The sequence below is a fragment of the Homo sapiens genome, chromosome 8 (genome assembly GCF_000001405.40).
Source record: "Homo sapiens chromosome 8, GRCh38.p14 Primary Assembly".
Taxonomy (NCBI): domain Eukaryota; kingdom Metazoa; phylum Chordata; class Mammalia; order Primates; family Hominidae; genus Homo; species Homo sapiens.
In genome coordinates this window covers 93,242,097-93,267,326 of record NC_000008.11, presented here as the reverse complement: position 1 = coordinate 93,267,326, position 25,230 = coordinate 93,242,097, and the positions used below count along the sequence as shown (strand labels likewise).

The 25,230-nt window shown below is 39.2% G+C and overlaps 2 long non-coding RNA genes across 2 annotated transcripts in view; one reads left to right on the top strand and one right to left on the bottom strand.

Moving 5' to 3' along the window:
• The window catches only part of LOC107986956 (uncharacterized), a 90,023-nt gene extending 72,932 nt beyond the window's left edge, over window positions 1-17,091 (top strand). The window contains exons 3-4 of the long non-coding RNA XR_001745996.1: window positions 16,573-16,673; window positions 17,053-17,091. This is a non-coding gene — a long non-coding RNA (uncharacterized LOC107986956). The remainder of the gene's footprint in view (window positions 1-16,572; window positions 16,674-17,052) is intronic.
• Window positions 910-25,230, bottom strand: part of LOC105375643 (uncharacterized) — a 40,499-nt gene continuing 16,178 nt past the window's right edge. Inside the window, exons 2-3 of the long non-coding RNA XR_001746003.2 lie at window positions 7,622-7,807; window positions 910-1,029 (exon numbers count right to left, since the gene is read on the bottom strand). This is a non-coding gene — a long non-coding RNA (uncharacterized LOC105375643). The remainder of the gene's footprint in view (window positions 1,030-7,621; window positions 7,808-25,230) is intronic.

The window sequence follows — 25,230 nt, the reverse complement described above, 5'->3', positions numbered from 1 at the left end:
AGGGTCCTGGAGTTTTGTAGCCCCAGGAACCTCTTTACACTTTTAAAAAATATTGAGGACCCTGAAGAGTTTTTTTATGTAGGTTTTAAGTGTTTACCATATTAGAAATTGAAACAGAAATTGCTTTAAATATATTTTTAATTTATTTAAAACTAAAATCAATCAAATGCTAACAAAATGAGATATTTTATGAAAAATAACTATTTTCTTTTCTTTTTTTTTCTTTTTTCTTTCTTTTTTTTTTTTGAGATGGAGTTTTGCTCTTGTTGCGCAGGCTAGAGTGCAATGGCGCAATCTTGGCTCACTGCAACCTCTGCCTCTCAGGTTCAAGCAGTTCTCGTGCCTCAGCCTCCTGAGTAGCTGGGATTACAAGCATGTGCCACCATGCCCAGCTAATTTTGTATTTTTTTTAAAGTAGAGATGGGGTTTCTTCATGTTGGTCAGGCTGGTCTCGAACTCCTGACCTCAGGTAATCCGCCTGCCTTGGCTTCCCAAAATGCTAGGATTACAGGAGTGAGCCACCGTGCTCTGCCAATAACTCTATTTTCAAAACTAAATAATTAGCCAGAAGAGAGCTACTGTTTTACATTTTTGAAAATGTCTCTAAAATCTTTGTTTTTTGAGACAGAGTCTGTCTCTGTCACCCAGGCTGATGTGCAGTGGCACAATCCTGGCTCGCTAAAACCTCCGCCTCCTGGGCTCAAGTACTCTGCCTACCCCAGCCACCGAAGTAGCTGAGACTATGGGAGTATGCCACCATGCCCAGCCACGTTTTGTATTTTGTGGGGGTAGAGACAGGGTTATCCTATGTTTCCCAGGCTGGTCTTGAACTCATGGGCTCAAGCAATCCTCCCTCCTTGGCCTCCCAAAGTGCTGGGATTGCAGGTGTGAGCTGTCACACCTGGCCTTTTTGATTGTTTGTTTTTGAAGTCTTTCTTGATAGGAGACAGCTGGAGTCCCATGTCTACTTCTGCATTAAGTCTGTAGTCACATCCCACATCATGCAGGCTCCAGAATCTTCACTACACACTAATGAGAAATGACAGTGAAAAAGGCAAATAATTTCTTAATTACATTGTAAAAATAGTTTTCCCCTTAGCAACCACTTAAAAAGGTGACTCTACAGATGAAGATTCTAAATAACACACTGAGAACTGCTGTTCTATGGTTAGGTCAAGATAGAGTAGAACTGCGCTGTGTGACGAAGAAAGATGAGGCCAGGCGTGGTGGCTTAGGCTTGTAATCCCAGCATTGTGGGTGGCCGAGGTGGGAGGATTCCTTAAGCCCAGGAGTTTGAGACCAACCTGGGCAACATAGTGAGACCCTGTCTCTACAAAAAATAAAAAAAATATATAAGCCACATATGGTGGCATGTGCCTGTAATCCCAGCTATTTGGGAGGCTGAGGTGGGAAGATTACTTGGGCCTAGGAGGTGGAGGTGGCAGTGAGCCAAGATCCTGCCACTGCACACCGGCCTGGGTGACAGAATGAGACCCTGTCTCAAAACAAACAAACAAAAAATAAAACAAAATTAAAAAATAAAGTAGGAGGAATTGGTAGTTTCTGGGAAGGGTATTCCTGGAGAGAAGTAAGGAAAATCTATCAAAGAGCAGTGAGAGTTGGGTTGGACAGTTGGGTTATTATTAAGGAGAAAGGCTTGAGAAAATGACAGCAAGCTTGCTCTTTAGGGGGCTCACAGCCAGAACGAAGTTCCAGATCACAGGGAATGGCCAATGGGTTTGAGGATAGTGATGTTTAATATGCAATGTTAATAATGGCTTTTATTGGCCGGGTGCAGTGGCTCATGCCTGTAATCCCAGCATTTTGGGAGGCCGAGGCAGGTGGATCATCTGAGGTCAGGAGTCCGAGACCAGCCTGACCAACATGGCGAAACCCCATCTCTACTAAAAATACAAAAAAAAAAAAAAAAAGCCGAGTGTGGTAGTGGGCTCCTATAATCCCAGCTACTCGGGACGCTGAGGCAGGAGAATTGCTTGAACCTGGGAGGCGGAGGTTGCAGTGAGCCGAGATTGCGCCATTGCACTCCAGCCTAGGCGACAAAAGCAAGACTCCTCAAAAATAAATAAATAAATAAATAAAAAGAATGGCCTTTATTGTTCTGCTCTAAATCCACTTAGTGACCCAAACCATGCGTACATGTTTGTTACACAGCAAAAAGAATGGTAGCCTCGAGTAAGAAAAATGGTTTTCTGCCATAGAAAGAAAGTTTTTAAGTGTGGACAGATTCAAGGAACACATAAACCATTCCTACCTTGGTAAAACATTTTGGTAGTCACCACAAAGTATCTAATGAGGGTTCAAATCTTTTTCTTTAAGTGTTAAATAAAAGGGTTCCCTAGGCAGTGCAACCTGGATGTGAGATCATTAGAAGTAGGATGTTGGGTAATTGAGTCAGGTCAGATTGGATTTTGCCTAAGTCTTCTGGGTGCACCAAGCAAGGTCACCTGAGAGTGAGAGGGATGGGAAGTGGAAAGGAGCTGAAGAGAGTAGCAGACAGTTATTTTTGTTTTGTTTTGTTTTTTGTTTTGTTTTTGTTTTTTTTTGAGAAGGAGTCTTACTCTGTCGCCCAGGCTGGAGTGCAGTGGCGTGATCTTGACTCACTGCAACCTCTGCCTCCTGGGTTCAAGTGATTCTACTGCCTCAGCTTCCTGAGTAGCTGGGACTACAGGTGCATGCTGCCACACCTGGCTAATTTTTTTTGTAGTTTAGTAGAGATGGGGTTTCACCGTGTTGCCTAGGCTGGTCTCCAACTCCTGAGCTCAGGCAATCCGTCCTCCTTGGCTTCCCAAAGTGCTAGAATTACAGGCGTGAGCCACTGCGCCCGTCTGCAGGCATTTTTAATAGTTGCTGAAGGGTGTGCTAGTATTAGTCAGTGTTCTCCAGAAAAACAGAACCAACAGAGAAAGAGAAAGAGACAGAGAGAGAGACAGAGAGAGAGAGAAAGAGAGGTTTATTTTAAGAAATTGGCTCACGTGATTATGGGAGCTGGCAAGCCGGAAATCTGTAGGGTAGGCCAGCAGGCTGCAGACCCAGAAAGAGTCAACATTGCAGACTTGAGTCTGAAGGCCATCTCTAGGCAGAATTCTTTCTTCTTTGAGGGACCTCAATCTTTTCTCTAAGATTTTCAACTGATTGGATGAGGGCCACCCACTTTATGGAGGGTAATCAGCTTTACTCAACATCTGCTGATTTAAACGTTAATCACATCTAAAAAAATACCTTCACAGCAATATCTAGATTGGCATTTTAGCAAACAACTGGGGTAGCACAGCCTAGCTAATTTGATACCGAATTAACTATCGCAAGGTTGAACCAAGAACCAAGGACAAATAAACAAATGTCAGGTAATTGTAAGAGTCCAGGTGAGATTGGGGATCCCTATGTCATTGTATCACTAGTCCACGTGGTTGCTGGGATTTTCTCAAGTAATGTTTAGTAGTCTGAATATAGGAACAGAGAAGATGACATATGGGAATGACCCAAGGATAGATTAAGATCTGATATTGTAAGGATTGTGAGGAAGGTGACTGTTCATAGGATATTTATGTGATTGCCATTGGTCAAGCCTGGTCAGAAAAAGATGTGAGCCTGGAAGGTTCAATCTCCTAATTATTGTGGGATATGGATGGCAGGAGAATAAGATGCCTCCATGAGAGAGGGTCTAAGAAAAACTTTGGATGAGTTTGAAGTTGTAAATGAGAGTTGAAGAAGCCTCAGTTAAAACTTGTTAGAGCAGTAGGAGTTCTAGAATTTCTCTGCAGGAGAGGCTTATGAGTACAAAATATATTGAAAATGAGGGCTTGGAGACTTGTCTTGAAGCTATATTTGCAGAACAAGTCCCTTGTTTACTTAGATTGAGACCTTTGTAATCCATTTCTTGGTTTCTCTGACCATTTAGATGGAGGTAGGGAGAGGGAGGGCGAGAAGAGTTTGGGATGACAAATGGAAGAACTGTGGGACTAATATTTTAGCTAATAGTGACAAGAAGTCTATTGAAACGGGCTGGTATCCAGGTTCCAAGAGAGTTTCTGATGACAGAGTTCAAATAGAATGATAGCTGGTGAGCTTGTGGTGAGGAGGGCCAACTGCAATGGCCGTGTTGAGGCAGAGTCAGGTTCAGGTTAGCAAGTCAAGGGCCTGGACACTTGGTTCTGTCTCTTATACTTGACTTTAGGCTTCTTGAAAGCAAAGGCATTATTTTGTGATGGTTGTTCGTTTATAGTGCCAAGTAGCTTGAAAACTTACCAATGTCACATGGTATGTGGCAAAGCTGAGCTCAACTCATTCATTCATTCAATGAAAATTTATTTAGTACCTACTATGTGCCTGGCACATGCCAGCTTGGAAATACTAATGTGATTATGACAGAAATTGGTTTCTGCATTGATGGTGCTGATTATGAAGATTCTTAATTTTTTGATTCTAGTTAATTTCAGGATGCACTAAGGGGAAGCATGGAAACCTTGAAAAGATATCAGTAACAATATCATGCAGAGTTCAGCTTCATTCCTGTCACCTTAGGATGCTGCGGGCAGGAGACTATCTTCTTTTAAATTCGATTAGTCTCTTTCAAGCCATGTTATTTATTGCCTCACCCCTCAACCTCACATTGTGCATCTGCCTCTTCCCTGATATGCTCCAGTAGCAACATAACACCGAGCACACGGCTCTTTCTCAATCAGAGCAAGGCTGACTGTGAGGACAGCAGGTTTCACTGGGTTGGAATTGCAGTTTTGGAACGAGAGGGAGCTCTCTTGGGAATGGAGCAGGCACAGATTGTATTAGCCAACGTGATTCTAGGTGAATTGGCAAAAGAGAAAGGAACTGTCAGCGTTCAGGATGAATATGGGAGAGAGCAACACAGTGCATGCTGGACAATCCAATAAACAGACAAAGGTATTTAAGCAGCACCCCTCAGGCAGTTGGCTTGGTGAAAGAAAATGAGACTCAGGTCTCATGAGAACTGAAACAGCAATGATCGGCATTGCTTCACTGATGCTTCTTCCCTCTCCCCCTCTCCTTCTGCTCCATATTTGAAGGTATTACCTATTCCTTCTTCATTCTCACTGAGAGAATTGTTTTAACATCCTCCACAGTAATCCGTCTACCAGTGTCAGCCCAGAGTGGCCTGTGGAGTCCCCTTCACCAGCGTTGGCCACGAAGGCACACAAGGTCCAAAGCAAGTAGCTCCTTCCCAGCCCCTTCAGGAAACAGTTCATTCCATGAGACTCTTAAGGAATAATCTTTACACTCTTCTGTTTGCCTTTCATCATGATTCTATTGTTAGCCATGTGAGTTCAGCTGTTAACTGATCACTTAAAAAGAAATGATCTCTTCCCCCATTCTCATTTTCCCCAGTAACAGCCTGACAAACAAATAGCACCTGTGGTTGCTCGCAGAGAAAAATATGAGAAAATAGAAAACCAAAGACGCAAAGCACGAGAATCCCACTAATGCCTGGTGACTGATCTTGTTAGTACGCACAGTGCGTCCTCATATTTTTCCAGAATCTTAGCTCTCTCTGCTGAACAACCACACACACACACACACACACACACACACACACACTCACACACACACAGCCCTCCCCCCCCCACACACAAAAGCATTTTGGGGCAGGCTGCATATGCCCCTCTACCCTCTGCCTGGAGCTTGATTGTCAGTCTAATACACAAGCCCAGACAATGCTCTCAATAGGCGTCTTTTGGGGAGACAATTACAGAAAGCATGATAACGGGATTTGTCACCCTGATGTGGCTGCTGTTTCAGCAAGCGTTTCAATAATGAAAGAAAGTTTTACTAATTGTAAATGTGAATGAATTTCAGCTGTCTCTTCTTAAAAAAATTCTTTTGGAAGAAAGCCAATTAAGATCATCTGCCTAATGCATCTATTCACCCCCACTGCAACAATATGTCAGTTATAATAGATGTCTAAGAAACAGACTTCTCAGGACAGGGTGCTGAGCAGGCTGAAAACAGGGAGAGATCAGAGCCTCTACCTGCAAAATATTTGGAGGTAGCTGATGAAAACTCCTCCCTGTGAAATTTTATTTTTAATCCATAGGGTAGTGGAGCAGGGGGCATTTACAACACACCGACGCATCAAGATGGAGTAAGTTTCAATGCAACCGTCTATAGTATCCAGAGCAAGTCTCTTTCCTACTGGTGGCCTGGTACACAACTTGTTTTCTTTCCAGGGAATTGTGAAAGCTAATTGTCAAAATCCATGGCCTGGCTACTGGATGCCTGCTACCTTACCTCCAGAGGGGAAGTATTTATTTATGTTAAGGAGAATGCACAAATGCCTCCAGGAAGTGGAGCATAGGCAATCATGCTGACAAACTCTCCTTCGAGAAAAAATCATCATGCCTCTTGAGACATCAACTTATTGGGAGGGCGCTGTGTCCTAGAAAGAGACTGCCCGAAGTCACTAGAACACACTAAGAAGTGTGACTAAATATGCAGCACATCATTTGCTTCTCCAAAGAAGGTTGCACACAGTGGCTCCCAAGTCACACACATACCTTGGAGGTGACAGTCTTCCATCATGTATACTGGAAAAATTAATCGTACAGAAAATCCTGGAGAAGTTACAAAGGAAGGATAAATTCTTTTCATGAGCTTAACATTCAAACCGTCATAGACTCATGAGCTACCAGCTTTGTCTCAGTTCCAGATCAATCCACTATGTGACTAGCTATTCTTCCGTAGGTGACATCCTTCTGCCTTTTACATACTTTGAAGGGGACTTCTGTGTAACTGTAGTTTTTGTGTATAAATCATTTCCCCCCACAAGCAAGAAACTGTCTTAGCTTCCCACTGGGCTGACATTGCTTGTTGAAGGCCAGGATGTAGTTAGTCTGGTTGGGGCACTCTGGCCTGTCCTTTAGAGCCATGGGCAAGAGTACTGTGCACTGCGACGTCTAAACTACCATTGAGAGTAAACCCCCTTTGCTGATGTTCCCAGTCCTGCTATTCTGCTCACATTAACACCACCATTGCCTTTGCCAACATCAACGTTGCCTCCGTTGCCACCATCATAGTTTGTACTATCACCATGAACTTCATCAACACTTCTGCTACCATCTGCAGTACCATTACTGCTGTCTTCATTACCACTGCCACCAGAACCACCAATATCAGTGTGGTGAGCTGAATAATGGCCCCCAGAGATATCCAGGTCCTGATCCCTGAAAGGATACCTTCCAGATGTGATTACATTAAGGACTGTGAGATGGGGAGATTATTCGGGATTACCCAGGAGTCCCAGTGTAATCTCAAGAGTCTTTTCAAAAGAGAGGCAGAGGGAGATTTGGCTATAGAAGATGAAAAGGCGATGTGATGATAGCATAAGAGATTGGACTAACACAGACATAAACCAAGGGATGCCTGCAGCCTTAGAGGCTGGAAGAGACAAAGGAATGGATTCCCCCTTGAAACTTCCAGAAGAAACCCACCCTTTCAAAACCTTGTGTAAGACTCATTTTGGACTTCTGATCTTCAGAACTGTAAGAGAATAAATGTATGCCGTTTTAAGCTACTAAATTTACAGTAATTTGTTACAGTGCCAACAGAAAACAACTATAGTCAATAACATTACCTTTGTTTATATTACAATGCTTTATTTTCTTTTCCTTTTCTGGCTTCTGGAGGAAAGTAAACAATCCAAGGGGAGCCTAGAAAGTGCCTGCAGATCCTTGCAGCTGTCCCTGGGTCCCACTCCCTAGGAAGGGAAGTCAGGAATATAGAGTTTCCGTTTTCCAAAACATTACTTGGATATTGTTCTCTACAAGGGAAGAAGAAAGTTAAGATTAGCAGCCTAGACATTTGTGCAAAAGTCCTAGATGGTGTCCCTTCTCTTTTCAATCCAAGAGTGTTCCATTGGGGTAGCACGGGATTGATCTCAAGTTGATATAAGGCAACTGCTCTGCACGTAAACTATAACTACATACTGACCCATACATTTTCTCATTTCAATGGTCTAAACCTCAGAAAGGAAGAAAATTATCTTCGTTTCTGCAATTGCCCTCTACCTGTGGTCCTAGCCAAGCATGGCACATGCAGATGATTTTGAAAATGTTCAGTTGTGGCTGAGTTACATGTGCAACAATCAATAGATGAAGAAATGGCTTTCTTAGTTTGTTTTTCCTTGAAAATAAGCCTATTGAGGAAATTATCTGATGCCTCATACTCCCACATATTAAAAGAAAATAGCTAGAATAGAAGGAAAGTTCTTAATTTTGTTTATTACTATGAGCAGGATTTACTAAATGTTTATTTGCACTTGGCTGGGTCTTGGGCAGGGTGGTTTTACTTTCTTTGAGCTATAATGAGCTTGAATAATTCTGATTAGGTGGCTACACTAATTAAATTTACCACATAATTAGCTCACGATTTTCACTTCGTTTTGCCATGCAAATCCTTTCTAAAAAGTAAAACCCATTCTAACTTATCTTTTTAATAAATCAAATCAAAAGTTGGTCAATCATTTTATGTACTTAGATTAAAAAAAGTCTCTTTTGAGTTAATTTTTTGAAGGTTTTATGTGGTATTTACATACTTATTATTTATTTTTTCTTCATAAGAGTAACATATTACAATTTGGAGAACTAAGGAAAATATGTAATTTTATCCTTGGGGCAAAACCATTTGTAGCAGTTGACTAATTTTTCATCCATTTTTTTCTTGGCCTATAACTGTCCCATAATTAAAATTAGAGTGTTGGTAGTATTTAAAATAAGTAAAACATTAAAAATGCATTATTTTTCACTGAAAGTCATTGATAATCATTATAGCCTATAAAATATTTACCTAATACATAAATCAAAAATATCCTAATTCATAATATTTAGAAATATAATATACTCTTTTTCAGATAATATTCTAAAAAGCAATCTTAGAAAACCGAAGTTACACCTAACATGACCTATTTGTCTCTTCCTGTTTGGTGTAAATGTACCTAACATGACCTATTTGTCTCTTCCTGTTTGGTGTAAATGTATCAGTACCTTTAAGACATTCATAACAATCATCGTTGGTTACATGTAATAGAGTGTTCTCTGGGAAAACTGGAGCCCTCAAATTGTCAATAAATAACTTGTCAATAGAGGTCATGTTCAGCACTCATCAATCTGAGGAATATAGTGCTTAAAGCTAAACTTAGGAGTATTTCCAACAGTTTTTATATGATTTTGGAAGTGCATACTACTAACCATACAACAAACTAAACCTTAACTTCTGTAACGTGATGTTACTACTTTGCACATTGGACTGGATTTAAAATGTTAAAGATGAAAAATATCAGTGTGCATGTAAGTGGAAACTTACTCCTCTAAGATTCCTCAGTTAATATAAATGATCAAAATTATTTCCACTTCTATTTTTCCTTATATAGCTGTAAAATGTCTTCAATATAAGGCAGATATAAAATTTAATGTATCTTTTTTTTTTTTTTTTTACATTTCAGTTTCTGCATCAACCAAATGAAAATGTCCACTTACTGCTTATTTAAAAATTGCATTTGAAAAGAATGGATCTGGAACTATATTATTTCCATAATAATAAAAAATGCAGCAAAATTCAAATTTATGCAAATAGAAGCAGTAAATATATATATCCCCATAAACATTTACAAATACAACAGGTTACCAACAAATACTCATCTCTGTAGCATCTTTAAGGAAGTGTAGAACAATGAAAAGAACATGCAGTTTGAAACACACTAATTTGGTTTATTTGCATTTAAATCTTGGCTGTGTTTTCACTTGGTGCTTATTTTGGGCAAGTCATTTAATCACTTTGAACTTAATTTTGTCATGTGCTGAGAACAACATTCTTGTTTTACAGTGGTCTTTCAAATATCTAATCTTTGCAATAGATATTGTTTTAGAGCTGTTTTATTCAGTACATTACAGCCACTAACCACATGTGACTATTTAAATTTAAATTTTAATTACTTAAAATTACATAAAATTAAAAATTCATTTTATCAGTTGCACTGGCTACATTTCAAGGGTTCACAGTGTAGCTAGTGGCTACTGTATTGAACAGTGGAAATACAGAAAACATTTCTAGCCTCATGGAAAATTCTGTTGAACAACACTGATAAGAGCATAACCATTATGTGAAAAACAACTTGTGGCAAGGTGTGGTGGCTCACGCATGTAATTTCAGCACTTTGGGAGCCTGAGGCCGGTGAGTTACTTGAGCCCAGGAGTTATGAACCAGCCTGGGCAACATAATGAGACCCTGCCTCTAGAAAAAATTTTTTAAAAATACCCAAGGCTGCAGTGAGCCGTGATTGTGCCACTGCACTCCAGCCTAGGCAACAAAGTGAGACCTTATCTCAAAAAAAAAAAAAAAAAGTTTGGTGCTAAAATATTTTGGAAACATAAATTAAACCAAGTGAAGCATATTTCTTTTTTTATAACTGATCAGTTATACATATTTTTGGAGTACATGTGATATTTTGATACATGTATACAAGGTGTAATGATCAAAGCATAATTGAGATATCCATCACCTCAAACACTTATTTTTGTGTTTAGCATTTCAGAAGTGGGTTTCATGTACACTCCTAGCCCAGGACCTGCACGTCCCTTCCCTTGTGTAATGTGCTAAAACATTATAATTCTTCTCTAGTTATTTGGAAATATACAATAAATCAGCTATAATTTCCATATTGTACTATTGAATATCAAACTTAATTTTTTCTATCTAACTGTAGTTTTGTACCCATTAGCCATCTTCTCTTCATATCCTCCTCCTTCCCTTCTCGGACTCTGATAAATACCATTCTACTCCCTACATCCATGAGATCCACATTTTTAGCTCCCATGCAATATGAGTGAGAACATGCAATATTTGTTTTTTTGTGCCTGGCTCATTTCATTTAACAAAATGACCTCCGGTTCCATCCATATTGCTGCAAGTGACAGAATTTCCTTCTTTTTTATGGCAGAATAATATCCCATGGTGTGTATGTGCCAGATTTGCTTTATCCATTCATCTGCTGATTGACATATGTTGATTCAGTATCTTGGCTATTGCGAATAGTGCTGCAATAAACATGGAAAGGCAAACACTTCTTCAATATACTGGTTTGCTTTCTTTTGGACATAAACTCAGCAGTGGGATTGCAGGATCATATGGTAGTTCTATTTTCAGTTTTTTGAGGAACCTCCATACTGTTTTTCATCATGATTGTACTACTCTGCATTCCTACCAACAGTGGATGAGAGTTCCCATTTCTCCCCACCTTTGCCAACATTTCTTATTTTTTTTGTCTGTCTGATAATAGCCATTCTAACTGCAGTAAGATGATATGTTATCATGGTTTTGATTTGCATTTCCCTGATTAGTGATGTTGAGCATTTTTTCATATACTGCTTGGCCATTTGTATGTCTTCTTTTGAGAAATGTCTATTTAGGTAAAATGAAGTGTGTATACTGCAGCATGTCTTGGAGGCTTCGACATGTGACATAGACATCCAAAAGAATGACATTTGGAAGACTGTTGTCTAGTAAAAATATTCTCCCATCTTTTTTCTTGCAAACACAACATGTTTTGGTATTATTTGGGAGGATATTTTTTCTCTTTATTTCAAACTGTTTATAATATGAATTTATATTCATATAATTCTTTATAATATGTCATATGTATATGATAAAATAAATCATTTATTGGGAATAGACTCTTTGGTCTCAGAGAAGGGAGGTGTAGCTCCTGGGCTAAGAGTATACATGAGACCCACTTCTGAAATGCTAAGAGAAATCTAGTACATTTCTGGAATGATTGTAATTCCTGTTAGACAGGCAGAACACTATGGCATGGCACCTTCTTTTTTTTTTTTTTTTTTTTTTTTGAGACGGAGTCTTGCTCTGTTGCCCAGGCTGGACTGCACTGGCGCGATCTCGGCTCACTGTAAGCTCCGCCTCCCAGGTTCACGCCATTCTCCTGCCTCAGCCTCCCGAGTAGCTGGGACTACAGGCACCCGCCACCACGCCCGGCTAATTTTTTTTTGTATTTTTAGTAGAGACAGGGTTTCACCGTGTTAGCCAGGATGGTCTCGATCTCCTGACCTCTTGATCCACCCGCCTCAGCCTCCCAAAGTGCTAGGATTACAGGTGTGTGCCACCACGCCTGGCCCTTCTTATTCCCTTTTTTCCTGATATAAATCAATCTCTCCATTGATTTATAGGTGTAGACTTTGATAAAGTCATTTTGTCTTCATTACTATAGCTTATATTAGATATTGACATCAGGTAGTGTAACTCCTCCGACTTTAGTTTTTTCAAAATCATTTTGACTATTCTAGGCACTTTTCCTCTGTGTAAATTTTAGAATCATGTTTTCAATTTCCACAGAAAAATCGTCTGAGATTTAGATTGGGAATGGATTAAATCTATAAATGAGTTTGGAAAGAGTAGCTTTCTCCATTTTACCCAGTCTTTCAGTCCATGAACATGTTGGCTCTCTTTGTTTATTCAGGTCTTTTAAAAAATTCACTTAGTGGAGTTTTGTAGTGTTCAGCATTTTGGTCTTACACATATTTAGTTAAATTTATTTCTAAACATTTTAAGCTTCTAGACACTACTGGAAATACTTATTATTTAAAAATTTCATTTTCCAATTATTTATTGCTAATTTATAGAAACACAATTGATTTTTGTATGCTGACCTAGTATCTCGTGACTCTTAAATTTATTTATTACTTCTTTAGTTTTCTTCCCCTCTCCTTTTCTGTAACTTACATTTATATGTGTATATATATATGTGTATATATATATTTTTTGTTTGTTTGTTTGTTTGTTTGTTTCCTTTTTGAGGCAAGATCCAGCTCTGTTGCCTAGGCTGGAGCGCAGTGGTGCAATCATGGCTCACTGCAGCCTCAACCTCCAGGACTCAAGCAATCCTACACCTCAGCCTCCCAAGTAGCTGGGATTACAGGTGCCCACCACCACACCTGGCTAATTTTTTAAAAAGGATTCTGTAGAGACGAGATGTCACTATGTTGCACAGGCTGATCTCAAATTCCTGGACTCAGGTAATCCTCCCACCTTGGTCTCCCAAAGTGCTGAGATTACAGGCTTGAGCCACCATACTTGACCACCTATCTTTTTTTAAAATACTGTCTTTTGAAGAACAAATTTTTAATTAGGATGAAGTCCAAATAAACAATATTTTACGTTATAGTTTGAGCTAACTGTGTGTTCTATTTAGGAAATCATTGTTTAAGGAAATATAAGATCCTTATTTCTTCAAGAACTTAATAGTTTTAACTCTTCCATTTACATTTGTGATCTACTTTGAATAAATTGTTGTGTATGGCATGAGATGAAGATTGAAATTCATTTTCCTTACATGTAACTGTAATTATTACAGCACCATTTGCTGAAAAATATTATCCATTTCCTTATTGAATTGTCTTGACTTTTTTTTTTTTTTGAGATGGAGTCTCCCTCTCTCTCCTAGTCTGGAGTGCAGTGGTGCAATGTCGGCTCACTGCAAGCTCTGCCTCCCGCGTTCACGCCATTCTCCTGCCTCAGCCTCCCGAGTAGCTGGGACTACAGGTGCACGCCACCACACCCAGCTAATTTTTTGTATTTTTGTAGAGATGGGGTTTCACTGTGTTAGCCAGGATGGTCTCCATCTCCTGGCCTCATGATCCACCCGCCTCGGCCTCCCAGTGTGCTGGGATTACAGGCGTGAGCCACTGCGCCCGGCCCTGTCTTGACTCTTTTGTCAAAAGTCAAATAACCATATATGTGTGGGTCTATTTACTGACTCTGTATGCTGTTGTATTTGTTTATATTTCTGTCTTTACTCCAGTATTACACCGTCATGATTCCTAGAGCTTTAAGGCATATCCTAAAATCCATCAGTGTACATTCTCCAACTTCATTCTACTTTTACTATGTGTTTTGGCTATTTTAAGTTCTTTTATCTCTATTAGATTAAGAATGAGCTTATCAATTTTTACAAGTATACTTAATATTTTGATGAGTATTGCACTGAATCTATTGTTTAATGTAGAAGGAATTAAAATTTTAACAATATTGAGTCTTCCAATCCAAGAATATTCTATATTTTTTCATTTGTTTAGGACTTCTTTAATATTGTTTAATTTTCAGTGTAAAAATTGCTAAAGAATCACTCCAAGTGTTTGCATATCTTCTGTCAAATGTATCCCTAATTATTTCAAATATTTAATGCTATTGAAACAGTTTTTTTTTCAAATTTTTATTGCTCCTTGATAGTGTATAGAAATATTACAGAATACATTGGTTGTTCAGTGTAGCCTTTCTACACGGGCTGGTCAGAACTTGAACATCTCATATTCTCAGGTGATTTCTAGGAATTCTTCATCCTACAATTTCTTGGTAGTTGCTATTTCCTCAGTAGTTGTTCATTGCTTGGCCTCTTGTAGTCTCATTCTATGACTGTGCAGATTGATATTCAGGCAATGATTCAAAGGGTTCCTCGTGCAGATTTCTGGAACTCTTTCTTTGTGAAGTTGCCTCACCTTTGCTTCTGTGTCGCACACATTTTAGCTGACTCAGGCTTCCCAGACCCAGATCTCTGCTCCCTTATCTCAGTGAGACTTCTGTCTTATATTTGGGCTCCTTCTTTCTGCACCATGAATCAGAAGTCCATCCAGGCAGAGATTGTGGGGACGGTAGTTTCATCTCATTTGTTTCCTTTCTCTTTGCAATAACAGTTACATATTATCTAATGTCTGAAATAGTTGTTTCATATATTTTATCCAATCACTCATTCTTTATGGTGAAAAAGTAGTTTGATGCTAGCTGGAAGCACAATCATTTGTTGGCTTTTGAAATGTGCACCACGTCAACCAAAGGGTTGTGTGTTGTGTGTTTCCCCAGTTGGTGTGTGAATAAAGGCTATTACTGCTTATAAAGAAATTGTTCATTAGCAACCATGCTAATTACTTGATGATGAAGTAATGTTTTCAGTACTTTGCATTCCAATATGATAGCTTTTATTCCTTTATAGGTATTTTATTATTTTTAGTTAATATGGGAAACTGGTTTAGGGGTTTGGCCAAACTGAAAGGCATTTTTCTCACTTAAAATAATGAGAAATAGGCTTCTGTTTAGCCATATCATGGACAAGATCTGAATTTCTAATGTTAACTGGGAGATGCGTTTATGTGTACAAGGTATCAGCTGTTCTTGAACACACCTTACCTTTTTCACAACTGTATCTTGAGGATCTAGAACAGTTTCTGGCACGTATTGGGGACCTATGCAATATTTGTTAATTAAATGAATGACAAATGTTCAAGATGGAATCTTTGATGATGATGATGATGATTGTCTCGTTTGAATGTTATTTGCTCTTTTAATTAAATAAATTACAGTTGACCCTTGAACAACAGGGGTTTGAACTGCATGGGTCCACTTATATGGAGATTTTTTTCAGTAAAAGTTGTGCTGAGTATGCCTGGCTCTACAACCTCCCTTTCCAACCCCTCCGCTGTTTCTGCCTCTGCCACACCTGAGACAGGAAGACCAGCTCCTCCTCTTCTCCACTTCCTCCTCAGACTACTCAGTGTGAAGGCAATGAGGATAAAGACCTTTAGGATGATTCACTTCCACTTGATGAGCACTATATATATTTTCTTTCATGATTTTCTTAATAATTTTTTAACTTACATTGCTGTAACAATACAGTATATAATACATATACAAGGTGTGGGTTAATTGGCTTTTTGTTATTGACAAGGTTTCTGGTAAGCAATAGGCTATTAGTAGTTCAATTTGGGGAAGTTGAAAGTTAGATATAAATTTTCAGCTGCATGGGGACGGGGGGGCGGTGGTCAGTGCCCCAACCCCTGTGATGCTCAAAGGTCAAACTGTAAATTGAACTACTCCATGTACTAGGCTGAACTAACTTACTGAAGGGAGGCATGCTCCTTCTCCATGAGATAGTAAGAATGGAAAAAGAATATCCAGTCAATAAGCATATGTAGCAGGATTTAATAAAATATCAGGTTAGATGGGGCTGTTGGTTTTATTATTTAACTAAATATCTATGAGTATATCCAAACTACAGTCAGTTCTATCAATGTCTAACTTCTCAAAGTGTGCACAAAATGCCAGTTTGGAGATAAAGACTCATTCTCCCAGACCCATGAATTTTTGGCCCTGTCCTATTCCTAATATTTGTATGGCTGGGGGTAAGAATATGAGTGGAGGCCCACATATCATCTGTTTAAATGTAAGTTATCCATCAGTTACCAAAAAGTTCAATAAAATACGTCTTATCCTGCTACCTGAATAAGTATATTCTCATGATGACCAGGTTTGAACTTAGAATTCCTAGACTCCTCAGTGTTCATGCCCCAATGTAGGGGGTCCTCTCAAGTTCCTCATATTCCCCTCCCACAGCATGCCACCCCTTTTTCCCACTTTTGGTTCTGTCCTGCCCTATGAGGATCTTTGCATACACATAAATAAATACCCTGCTCACATATCCAAGTTCTGTCTAAATCCTGTGCAAGTAGCTGTCCCTTTGTCACCCCTCAGGCATTGATGCATTCACATCAATGGTGAATTCAGACTTCAGAAGAACTGACCCAAGGACAAAGGTCCACCCAGGCCATGGAAGAGGCTCCTCAACCGTTTGGGTGGGTAATCCCTTGGCCTGCATTTGGGGGATGATCTGACATGGGTGGGAATATGGCTTCTGTGTAGATATCTCCCCTTGGCCCTTAGAGAGGGTCATGGCTCTGGAGGGACAGAGCAGTGTTTCTAAAGTCCCAGGCCCAGAGCAGGGTTCCTCCTGGCTGAGTCTAAAACACTGAATTCTGAGCATATGGGAGAAGGTAAGAGTTGGGAAGTTAAGTCATTCACACAGGTGAATTTCATTGTCAGGACTTCTTGCCATTTGACTAATATCCGTATTTTCTTTGTTCTTATAAATAGAACCCTCATTTTGTTTAGGGCAGCAATGGTCCTAACTTAGAGACTGTATCTTCTTTTCTTTTCTTTTTTTTTTTGAGACAGAGTTTCACTCTTGTCACCCAGGCTGGACTGCAATGGCGCGATCTCTGCTCACTGCAAACTCCGTCTCCCAGGTTCAAGCAATTTTCCTGCCTCAGCCTCCCCAGTAGCTAGGATTACAGGTGCCCACCACCACACCCAGTTAATTTTTGTATTTTTAGTAGAGACGGGGTTTCACCATATTGGCCAGGCTGGCCACGAACTCCTGACCTCAACTGATCCACCTGCCTCGGCCTATACCAATAAAAGGAAAATGATCAAATTTATTAATTAAATTTATAAATTATATTTTTGTCTGTCCACTACACTTTAAGCTCCTTGAATATAGGAATTGTATTCATTTTTTCCAAAGCTTCCCACATAATCTGAAACATAATCATACTAATAACACAAAATAGAGGTATATTAAAAGTTTGGATGAAAGAATATTAACCTGTATATACTGAGCACTATCCGTTGTACCATGAATAGCTTATAATTCAGATAGGTAGTAAAACAACAGCATCTTGAATTAAAATGTAAACAGAATGATACTTTATAATTTCTGAATGTTCTTCCATATTATTTCTCCAATATTCTTTTTAAAAAATCTCTAAAACAAAAACTAAGATTGGCCAGGCATGGTGGCTCACACCAGGAGTTTGAGACCATAATGGGCAACATAGCAAGACCCCTATCTCTATTTTTTTTAAAAGTTTTAAAAGAAAAACTAATATCTATTCTGAGATGTTTGAATTATACTAGTAAAATGGCAATGAATGTATGTTTTTGTTTCTTAGTGATTCAGTAACAGTTTCAAATAAAATATTTAGGTTAAGTTTACAAGTATTTAAATCATTTATTCTCAGAAATAAAGAAAACATTTTTATTTATGATTTTGTTAAATATATTAGACATCATCTTTTTGGAGATAACAGAAACACTGAATATTTAGACTTATAAGCCATGTACATTTGCAGAAAATATATATTCCGGATATGATTTTCTACCAAAAAATACATAGGGTTTTGCTGAAAGATCAGCATGTACGATGGCAGAATTTAAGATTAGATATTTGGGAGATTTACCAAGAAATATAACTTTCTTCCACCTAATTCATTAAGTGCCTTTTATCTTTTTTAAAGGAGAAAGTTTCTATTTTCTCTGGCCTTTCATCAATGTCTTTTTATATATACATAGAAAGAAAACAAAAATAGAGTCTATAGGACATATCCATATTTGAAGTTCTCTTTGTGTACTGTGATATTGAAATCATTTTGTAAAAAATAACATCCTTTTTTCCCCTGGTGTAGAATGTGTTAGGTATTAGATTAACAGAGGGAGTGTGTTAGAAGTTGGGCAGTCTTATCATTTAGACTTTCATAACAAAGGTACTTGAATATGAAACCATCACTTCTTTGAGGATAGAATTTTTTTATTTTATCATCTTATTTTTCTTTGGATGGAACACATTTTGGTCCATCAAATTCAAGTTCCTTTCTGAAATGTGCCCTGTGGATACATGCCATAAATTCCAACATATTCAGCATTTCCCAATCAAAATGATAACTTGTTACAGTATTCTGTTTCTATTGACATCCATGAGTTTCTTCTCTCTCTTTTTCTTCTGAATTAAAGGTATAAGAAATGGTGTCAAATGTCATTTATTACTTCCTCAGAAGATCTGAACAGAAACTATTATCTCCTTCAAATCTTTTGTGCTATCTTTATTGAAAATTCTCAGGGAGACCTGAACCAGTGTACTTACTGTTGACCTCAGAGCTATGGTACTACAGTTTCTGTTCTGAAAAAAATGTAAAGCATAAAAGAGCTGGAAAGGACACACATTCTGAGTTACAAAGAAAAAAGCAGCCTACAGCATGTGATTGACAAGAACTCAACATATTGCTTTGTCTGAGGCACAATTAGTTTTTTAAAAAAATACCATTGAGTAAATAATGCGATTGTCATAGTTATGTCATAGTGGCCCTTGAAGATTGTATTAGTCCATTCTCACACTGTTATAAAGACATATCTGAGACTGGTTAATTTATGAAGAAAAGAGGTTTAATCAGCTCACAGTTCTGTGGGCTGTATAGGCTTCTGCTTCTGGGGAGGCCTCAGAAAACTTACATTCATGGCGGAAGGTGAAGGGGAAGTAGGCACATCTTCACATGGCCAGCAGTAAAGTGAGAGTGAAGTGGGAAATGCTGCGTGTTTTCAAACAACCAGATCTCATGAGAACTCTATCACTGAAACAGCAAGGGGGAAGTCAGCCCCCATGATTCAATCACCTCCCACCAGGCTCCTCCTCCAACACTGGGAATTACAATTTGACATGAGATTTGGGTGGGGACACAGAGCCAAACTATATCAGGGATGACATAAGAACATTTGCAAAGAAGAAAGTTAGGATAAAAGCAAACTATTTTCTTATAGGCCTAAACATAAAAATATTCATACTAAATAGTATTAAAACTGAAAATGGGCTAAATCTTGCAAACATAATCATTTTTAAGCTTATATCATTGAACTGAGGCATTAATTCTGCATCATCCTAAATTATAAAAGGGAAGGCTTAGTTCTGCTTCCTACTGCTATAATTGATTTCTCATTTGTTCGTTTATTTATTTAATAAATAAGCATTTTTCAGTGACTCTAAATGAGGTAGTTCCTACAAATAAATACAAAACCCTAATATTTGATATAGGTAGTCTCAAAGCAGAGTTATCAATTATCTCTTGGGGAGTAAGACTGACCCTTGAACTGAGTCACAGGTCAGGATGTTTCAGAGTTGAAGCTGGAGAGGACGTTTGATCAGAGTGGAGGCAGTGAAGATGAAAGGAAAATTAGGAGACAATAATTGTTGTGAGATTAGGGGTGAGGGAGAGGGAAACTTCCCTAGTATGAGCAACTTGGTGGGTGGCATTGCTATTTACTGAGAGACAATAATTTGAGCTCATGACAGAAGATGGAGCTGGAGCTAGAAGTCTTGAGTGGCTCTGAAACATTGATAGTGGATGGGCTCCTTTAGGGAGGGCATATGGAGGGCGAATCTATGAAGGGCAGGATGGCCAACAGCTTCATTAGTCGAAGCATAGGACAGGCAAAGGAAAATAGAATAAGGGACCTCTGAATGCCAGGCTGAAGAAACTGGGTTTTGTTTCCTAGATTCTGTGGAATGACTGGAGGTATTTATGGTGCAGGAACTTGATTAGAGCTTGGCTTCAGGGGATTAATTTGGAGTGAAAAGAAAGCTAAAGCCAGATGACCCAATTTGGAAGCAACTGTTGGTGAAAGGTACTGCAGACATGGGGTTCTGGAGAGAGTGTGGGGCTGAGAAAATCCAGTGGCAGATTCTATAGGACCAGGCTACTCACAGGATATGGGGAAAGAAATAACTGGGAAGATGGTTAGCAACATTGTTAGAAGAGAATATTGAGTTTGAAAAGAAGGTTAAACTGGGCACAGTGGCTCACACCTGTAACCCTAGCACTTTGGGAGGCCAAGGGGTGGGGATCACTTGAGGTCAGGAGTTTGAGACCAGCCTGGCCAACATGGTGAAACCCCGTCTCTACTAAAAATACAAAAATTAGCTGAGTGTGGTGGCGGATGCCTGTAATCTCAGCTACTTGGGAGGCTGAGGTAGGAGAATCACTTGAATCTGGGAGGTGGAGCTTGCAGTGAGCCAAGATTGCACCACTGCACTCCAGCCTGGGCAACGGAGGGAGACTCTGTCTCTAAACAAAAAAGAAAAGAAAAGGAAAGAAGGCTATAGGAGGGATGTTGATTAAGGCTTCAGTTTCCAACAGGCTGCATTTGAGGGAAGGGGAGACACTCCCAAGCTTGGAAACCTGACCACAGCTCTGACCAGAGCCTGGGAGATCTGTCAAGGATGAACATGAAGAATTGAGAGTTATCTGAAAAGCAGCAATAGACTCTGTGAGAATCTTTCCTGTTACAGAAATACTGTCCTCGCTGAAGCCTATGGAATAATAGAAGGTGTTTTTTGAAAAAGACTCTCAGGAGAAGTGAAATGCTTTGTGTTTCAATTATCACTGGATACCTCTAGTCTCTACATGAAGTAATAAGGGGCATGCATGACTTTAAGTGACTTTTTGGAGAGTTGGTTGGTAACAATGCTAAACTGTGCACCAATCCTGAACTTTGTATTATTTCCTTTGCCCAGTATTTTTTAACATAATGTTTTAACTCAGGCTTGGTATTTCAAATAAATTCCTCAGTAACACTGGCTGAGGACAGACGCATCCAAAGAGCTGGGCCAGCATCCCAAGCAAGCCAGCGAAAGGCTATGAGTTTCCCACTATCACTTTGGTAATGCATGCACAATGCCTAATGTATTATTAACTATTCAAAATGTACTCTGGTTCCTGCCGTTTCCACAGAACAAGTGTGGCAGCCTGCATTGTTTTGCAAAACACCTTTCAAAACTGGCTCCCAGTTTTGCCTTACCTGCTGACATTTAAAAATAACTGAGTTGTTTACTCTGTTTTCATTTCTTGGAGCAAATAAAAGTAAAAATGATACTGTTAGCATTTGAGTCCTGGAGCCACAGTTGGAGATGGATTTTTTTTTCTCTTTCCTTCTTGCTGTATTTTTTTTTTTTTTTTAAATGAAAGGTTGTTACTTTTGTTGATTGGCCAATTAGAGGAGCCGGTAGCTGCTACCTACTTCTAAGACTTGATTCTATTATGAAACCTCAGAAGCTAATGCTGCTTCAGTCTTGCCCTAAAGAGACATAAAAGGATCCACTTGCAGTTAAGTCTCCCGGCAGATGAAGGAGCATAAACCATTGATCACAATGTGAAATGCTGAAAACTGAAAAGGAATCCAATTTATTTTAAATAAAACTACTCTGTTCTCCAGTGACAGATTCCAGAGTCAGACAACAGAAAGGAACTGACAGCAGATGTTTTAGAGCCAAGACACAGAGAGACTGAGTAATAGTATAGAAAAGAAATTGCTTTGAACTTCACCCCTGCTTTAAATACTTCAAATCAATAGGGTCACAGAGCTCTTTAATAGAGTGATGAGGTCTTGCCCTAGCAGATCTGCACAGTGACAAGTTGATGTGCGTCCTAACAGCAGGGTCATAAAAATGGCAGGCTTCTACCTGAAAGGGAGCTTTGTGTGAGCGGGGTCCATTTGGAGTGACTCCCCTCTACGGCCACTCTCGAGAGCCAGGCCCTAATAGTCTCCATCTAAATGGGACTGACCTCATGAATTACCTCAGGAAACTTAATCTATAAACTGGCTTCTTCTTATGCAGACTGATGAATTCTTGTTTATTCCTAAATGGCTGTCACAAGACCTATTCATCAAACTCTTAAAGGGGGGAAAGGAGGCTTACAGAAGCCAGCCTCGAGTGCAGCGCCGTTAAATAATCATTAGGTTTCATGGCTGGTCTTGAGACCCACTCCAAATCCACAAAGCGGGCTTCTTTTTTATTTTTTAAACTATTCATCAGAACTGCATTTAGATGAGAGTCTGACCTGATAAAGAAAAAAAGAGAGTGCTTTTTGTCACTATCAGTTTCATGGCTGTGTTCTTTCTCTTTTGAGAGTTTTTTTTTTAAACAAAAGTAAAAGAAAATAAAGGCAGATGGCCAACTCTTTTCAATATCCGTTTGCTTTATTTGAGCAGTTTAATGTAGTGAAACAGAGTGAAATGTTGCTACTTGCTAAATGGTAAACAACACCATTACCCAGAATTCTGCTGTAGATTGGTACAAAACAGGGTGCTGGTGATTAATTAAACTGTTGTTGTAATTGTAATTCATGATACATAATAGATAGTGTGCCATGTATTTTAAAAGCAGCAAATTAGCAAATAATAACTTTCCTACATAGCACATATCCATTGCTTGCTGCTAATGCATAAATAATCACAAATAAAAGGCTATTATCCAACTACCTAATAAAATGAATGTATCTGATGTTCACCAATCTGTAAACACGTGCTAGTCAAGCTACACATCATGGCTGCTATGGGTCAGGTGTCCCTGGAGGCAAGAGGAAGACTTTTTTCTCCAGTTGACTTTATAATGTCTGCTGAATTATAATATTCCTAATCCTGCCAACAGTCATACAAGGAGTGATCTCCTCTCTCTATATATATTTAACATTTTTTTTGTGGACATTTACAGAAATGACTGCACAAATACCTTTTTTAGAAGAACTTTTTTTTTAAAAGAACAATTTTATGAAATCTGTTCATGTTTTGTCTACTTTTTCAGTGTGATGACTTTTCAAAAAATGGGAATGTCAAGGTGATTATTTCTCTTTTCCAATTCTTTCGGCATTCTCTAGCATTTGGTAAGTGGAGAAACAGACCTAAGATAAGGTAACTTAAGCCCACCAGTACATACTGGGCACTCCTGTGGGATAAATGAGATAAAAATACACAACTGGCAAAAAGGGGCTCGTGTAAGTTCTATGAACATGAGAAACTTCCAGCCCAGTCTTCTTTTTCCCCTTCCCCTGTCTTGCTTAAGTTGAATGATCAGCCTAAATTTTTTTCTCTGATAGCTTTCTTGAGGTATAATGTACATATCATACAATGGATCCATTTTTTAACTTCACAATTCAGTGACCTTTAATAAATTTACAGAGTTGGGCAACCATTGCCACAATTCAATTTTAGAACATTTCTATCACTTTCAAAGAGCCCATATACTCATTTGCTACCAATCCCTGTTCCCACTCCCAGACCTAGGCAAAAAACAAAAAGAAAAAAACCAGTTTTGTGATACCATGTTCATGTTTTGTCTACTTTTTCACTGTGACAATTTTTCAAAAATCGGAATGTCAAGGTGATCTACTTTATGTCTCTATTGACTTGCCTTTTCTGGTCCATTCATCTAAATGGAATCATGCAATATGATGTCTTCTGTGTTTGGTTTCTTTTACTTAGCACAATATTTTTTTATGTTTACCCACATTGTAGCATATATCAGAATTTCAAATCTTTTTATGGCTGCATAGTATTCCATCACGTATATATACCATATTTTATTTATCTGTTCACCAATTGATAAACATTTGGATTGTTTCCACTTTTTGGCTATTATGATTAAAGCTGCTATAAACATTCACATACATGTACTTTTGTAGGCATATGTTCTCATTTCTCCTTGGTAATTTTCTATGAGTGAAATTATTGGCTCATACAGTAAATTTATTCGACCTGAAATTTTAAAATGATCTCTCCCCACTCCAGAATTTTGTTGTGAAATCGTAATGTAACCCATATGGAAAATGATATTGAATTCCAGGACTGAAGAGTTGTTGAGTCTTTAGTACTCTAGTGGGACTAGGAAATACTGGGCCTGCTTGCATATCCACCATTTGTACCCTTGTGACCACAGCCATATCCTCAGAGGGACTGCTAACAGAGAGGGCCCCAAGGCAGTCCTGGTGGCACTCCTTGAATTCTCAAAGGCAAGAGATGCCTGGAAACAACCAACTCAAACTTGGTTAGCATTGCTTGTTGGGTTATATGAATTGGCAGACTGGCATGAGACAGAAGATATTTTGGCACACAGCAGTAAGCATGCAGACCAGATGCAGTACCCCAATGTCTGGAAACAAGGGAGGAGTCAGAACTGTTAAGTCTCTGTTCTTTTGGCCTAGTACTGTTTCATAAGAAGAGAGTGAGTGAACTGCAAAAGCCCATTGCCAACAAAGCAGCTCCTTTAATGTGATGCTGTTAGAAGAGGCTTTTCCCTATCAAATTGCAGTAAACATATTCCCAGGAGATAAGGAGGTCTGGGACTCCATGTTTCCCACCCCACTCTACCATTTATTCCTGGGGATAAAGAAGGCCTCTGTCTATTTCAATGACTAGGGGTTGTTTTAGGACACACTGATGGCAGCTGTGGGCTGTCTGGAGACGCCACTACCGTCACACCAGCTGCATCATGGAGGCATGACTGGGGCTGCATGCTCCATGGAGCTGGAAGCTGGGAACAAGCAGGACCCCTGCCCATTCCAAGTTGGGGTGGGAGCTCCCTGGATGCTGTTGCAGCTGCTCAAGCCACGGCTGCAGACCTGGGCATCCCTGTGCTCTCAGGGCTCAGAAGCAGGCAGGATCCCTGCCCTTCTGCGTACAGCCGCAGCCACCCAAACCGTGGCTGCAGACCCAGGCCTCCTACTCCACGAAGCAGGTAGAAGCCCTGCACCC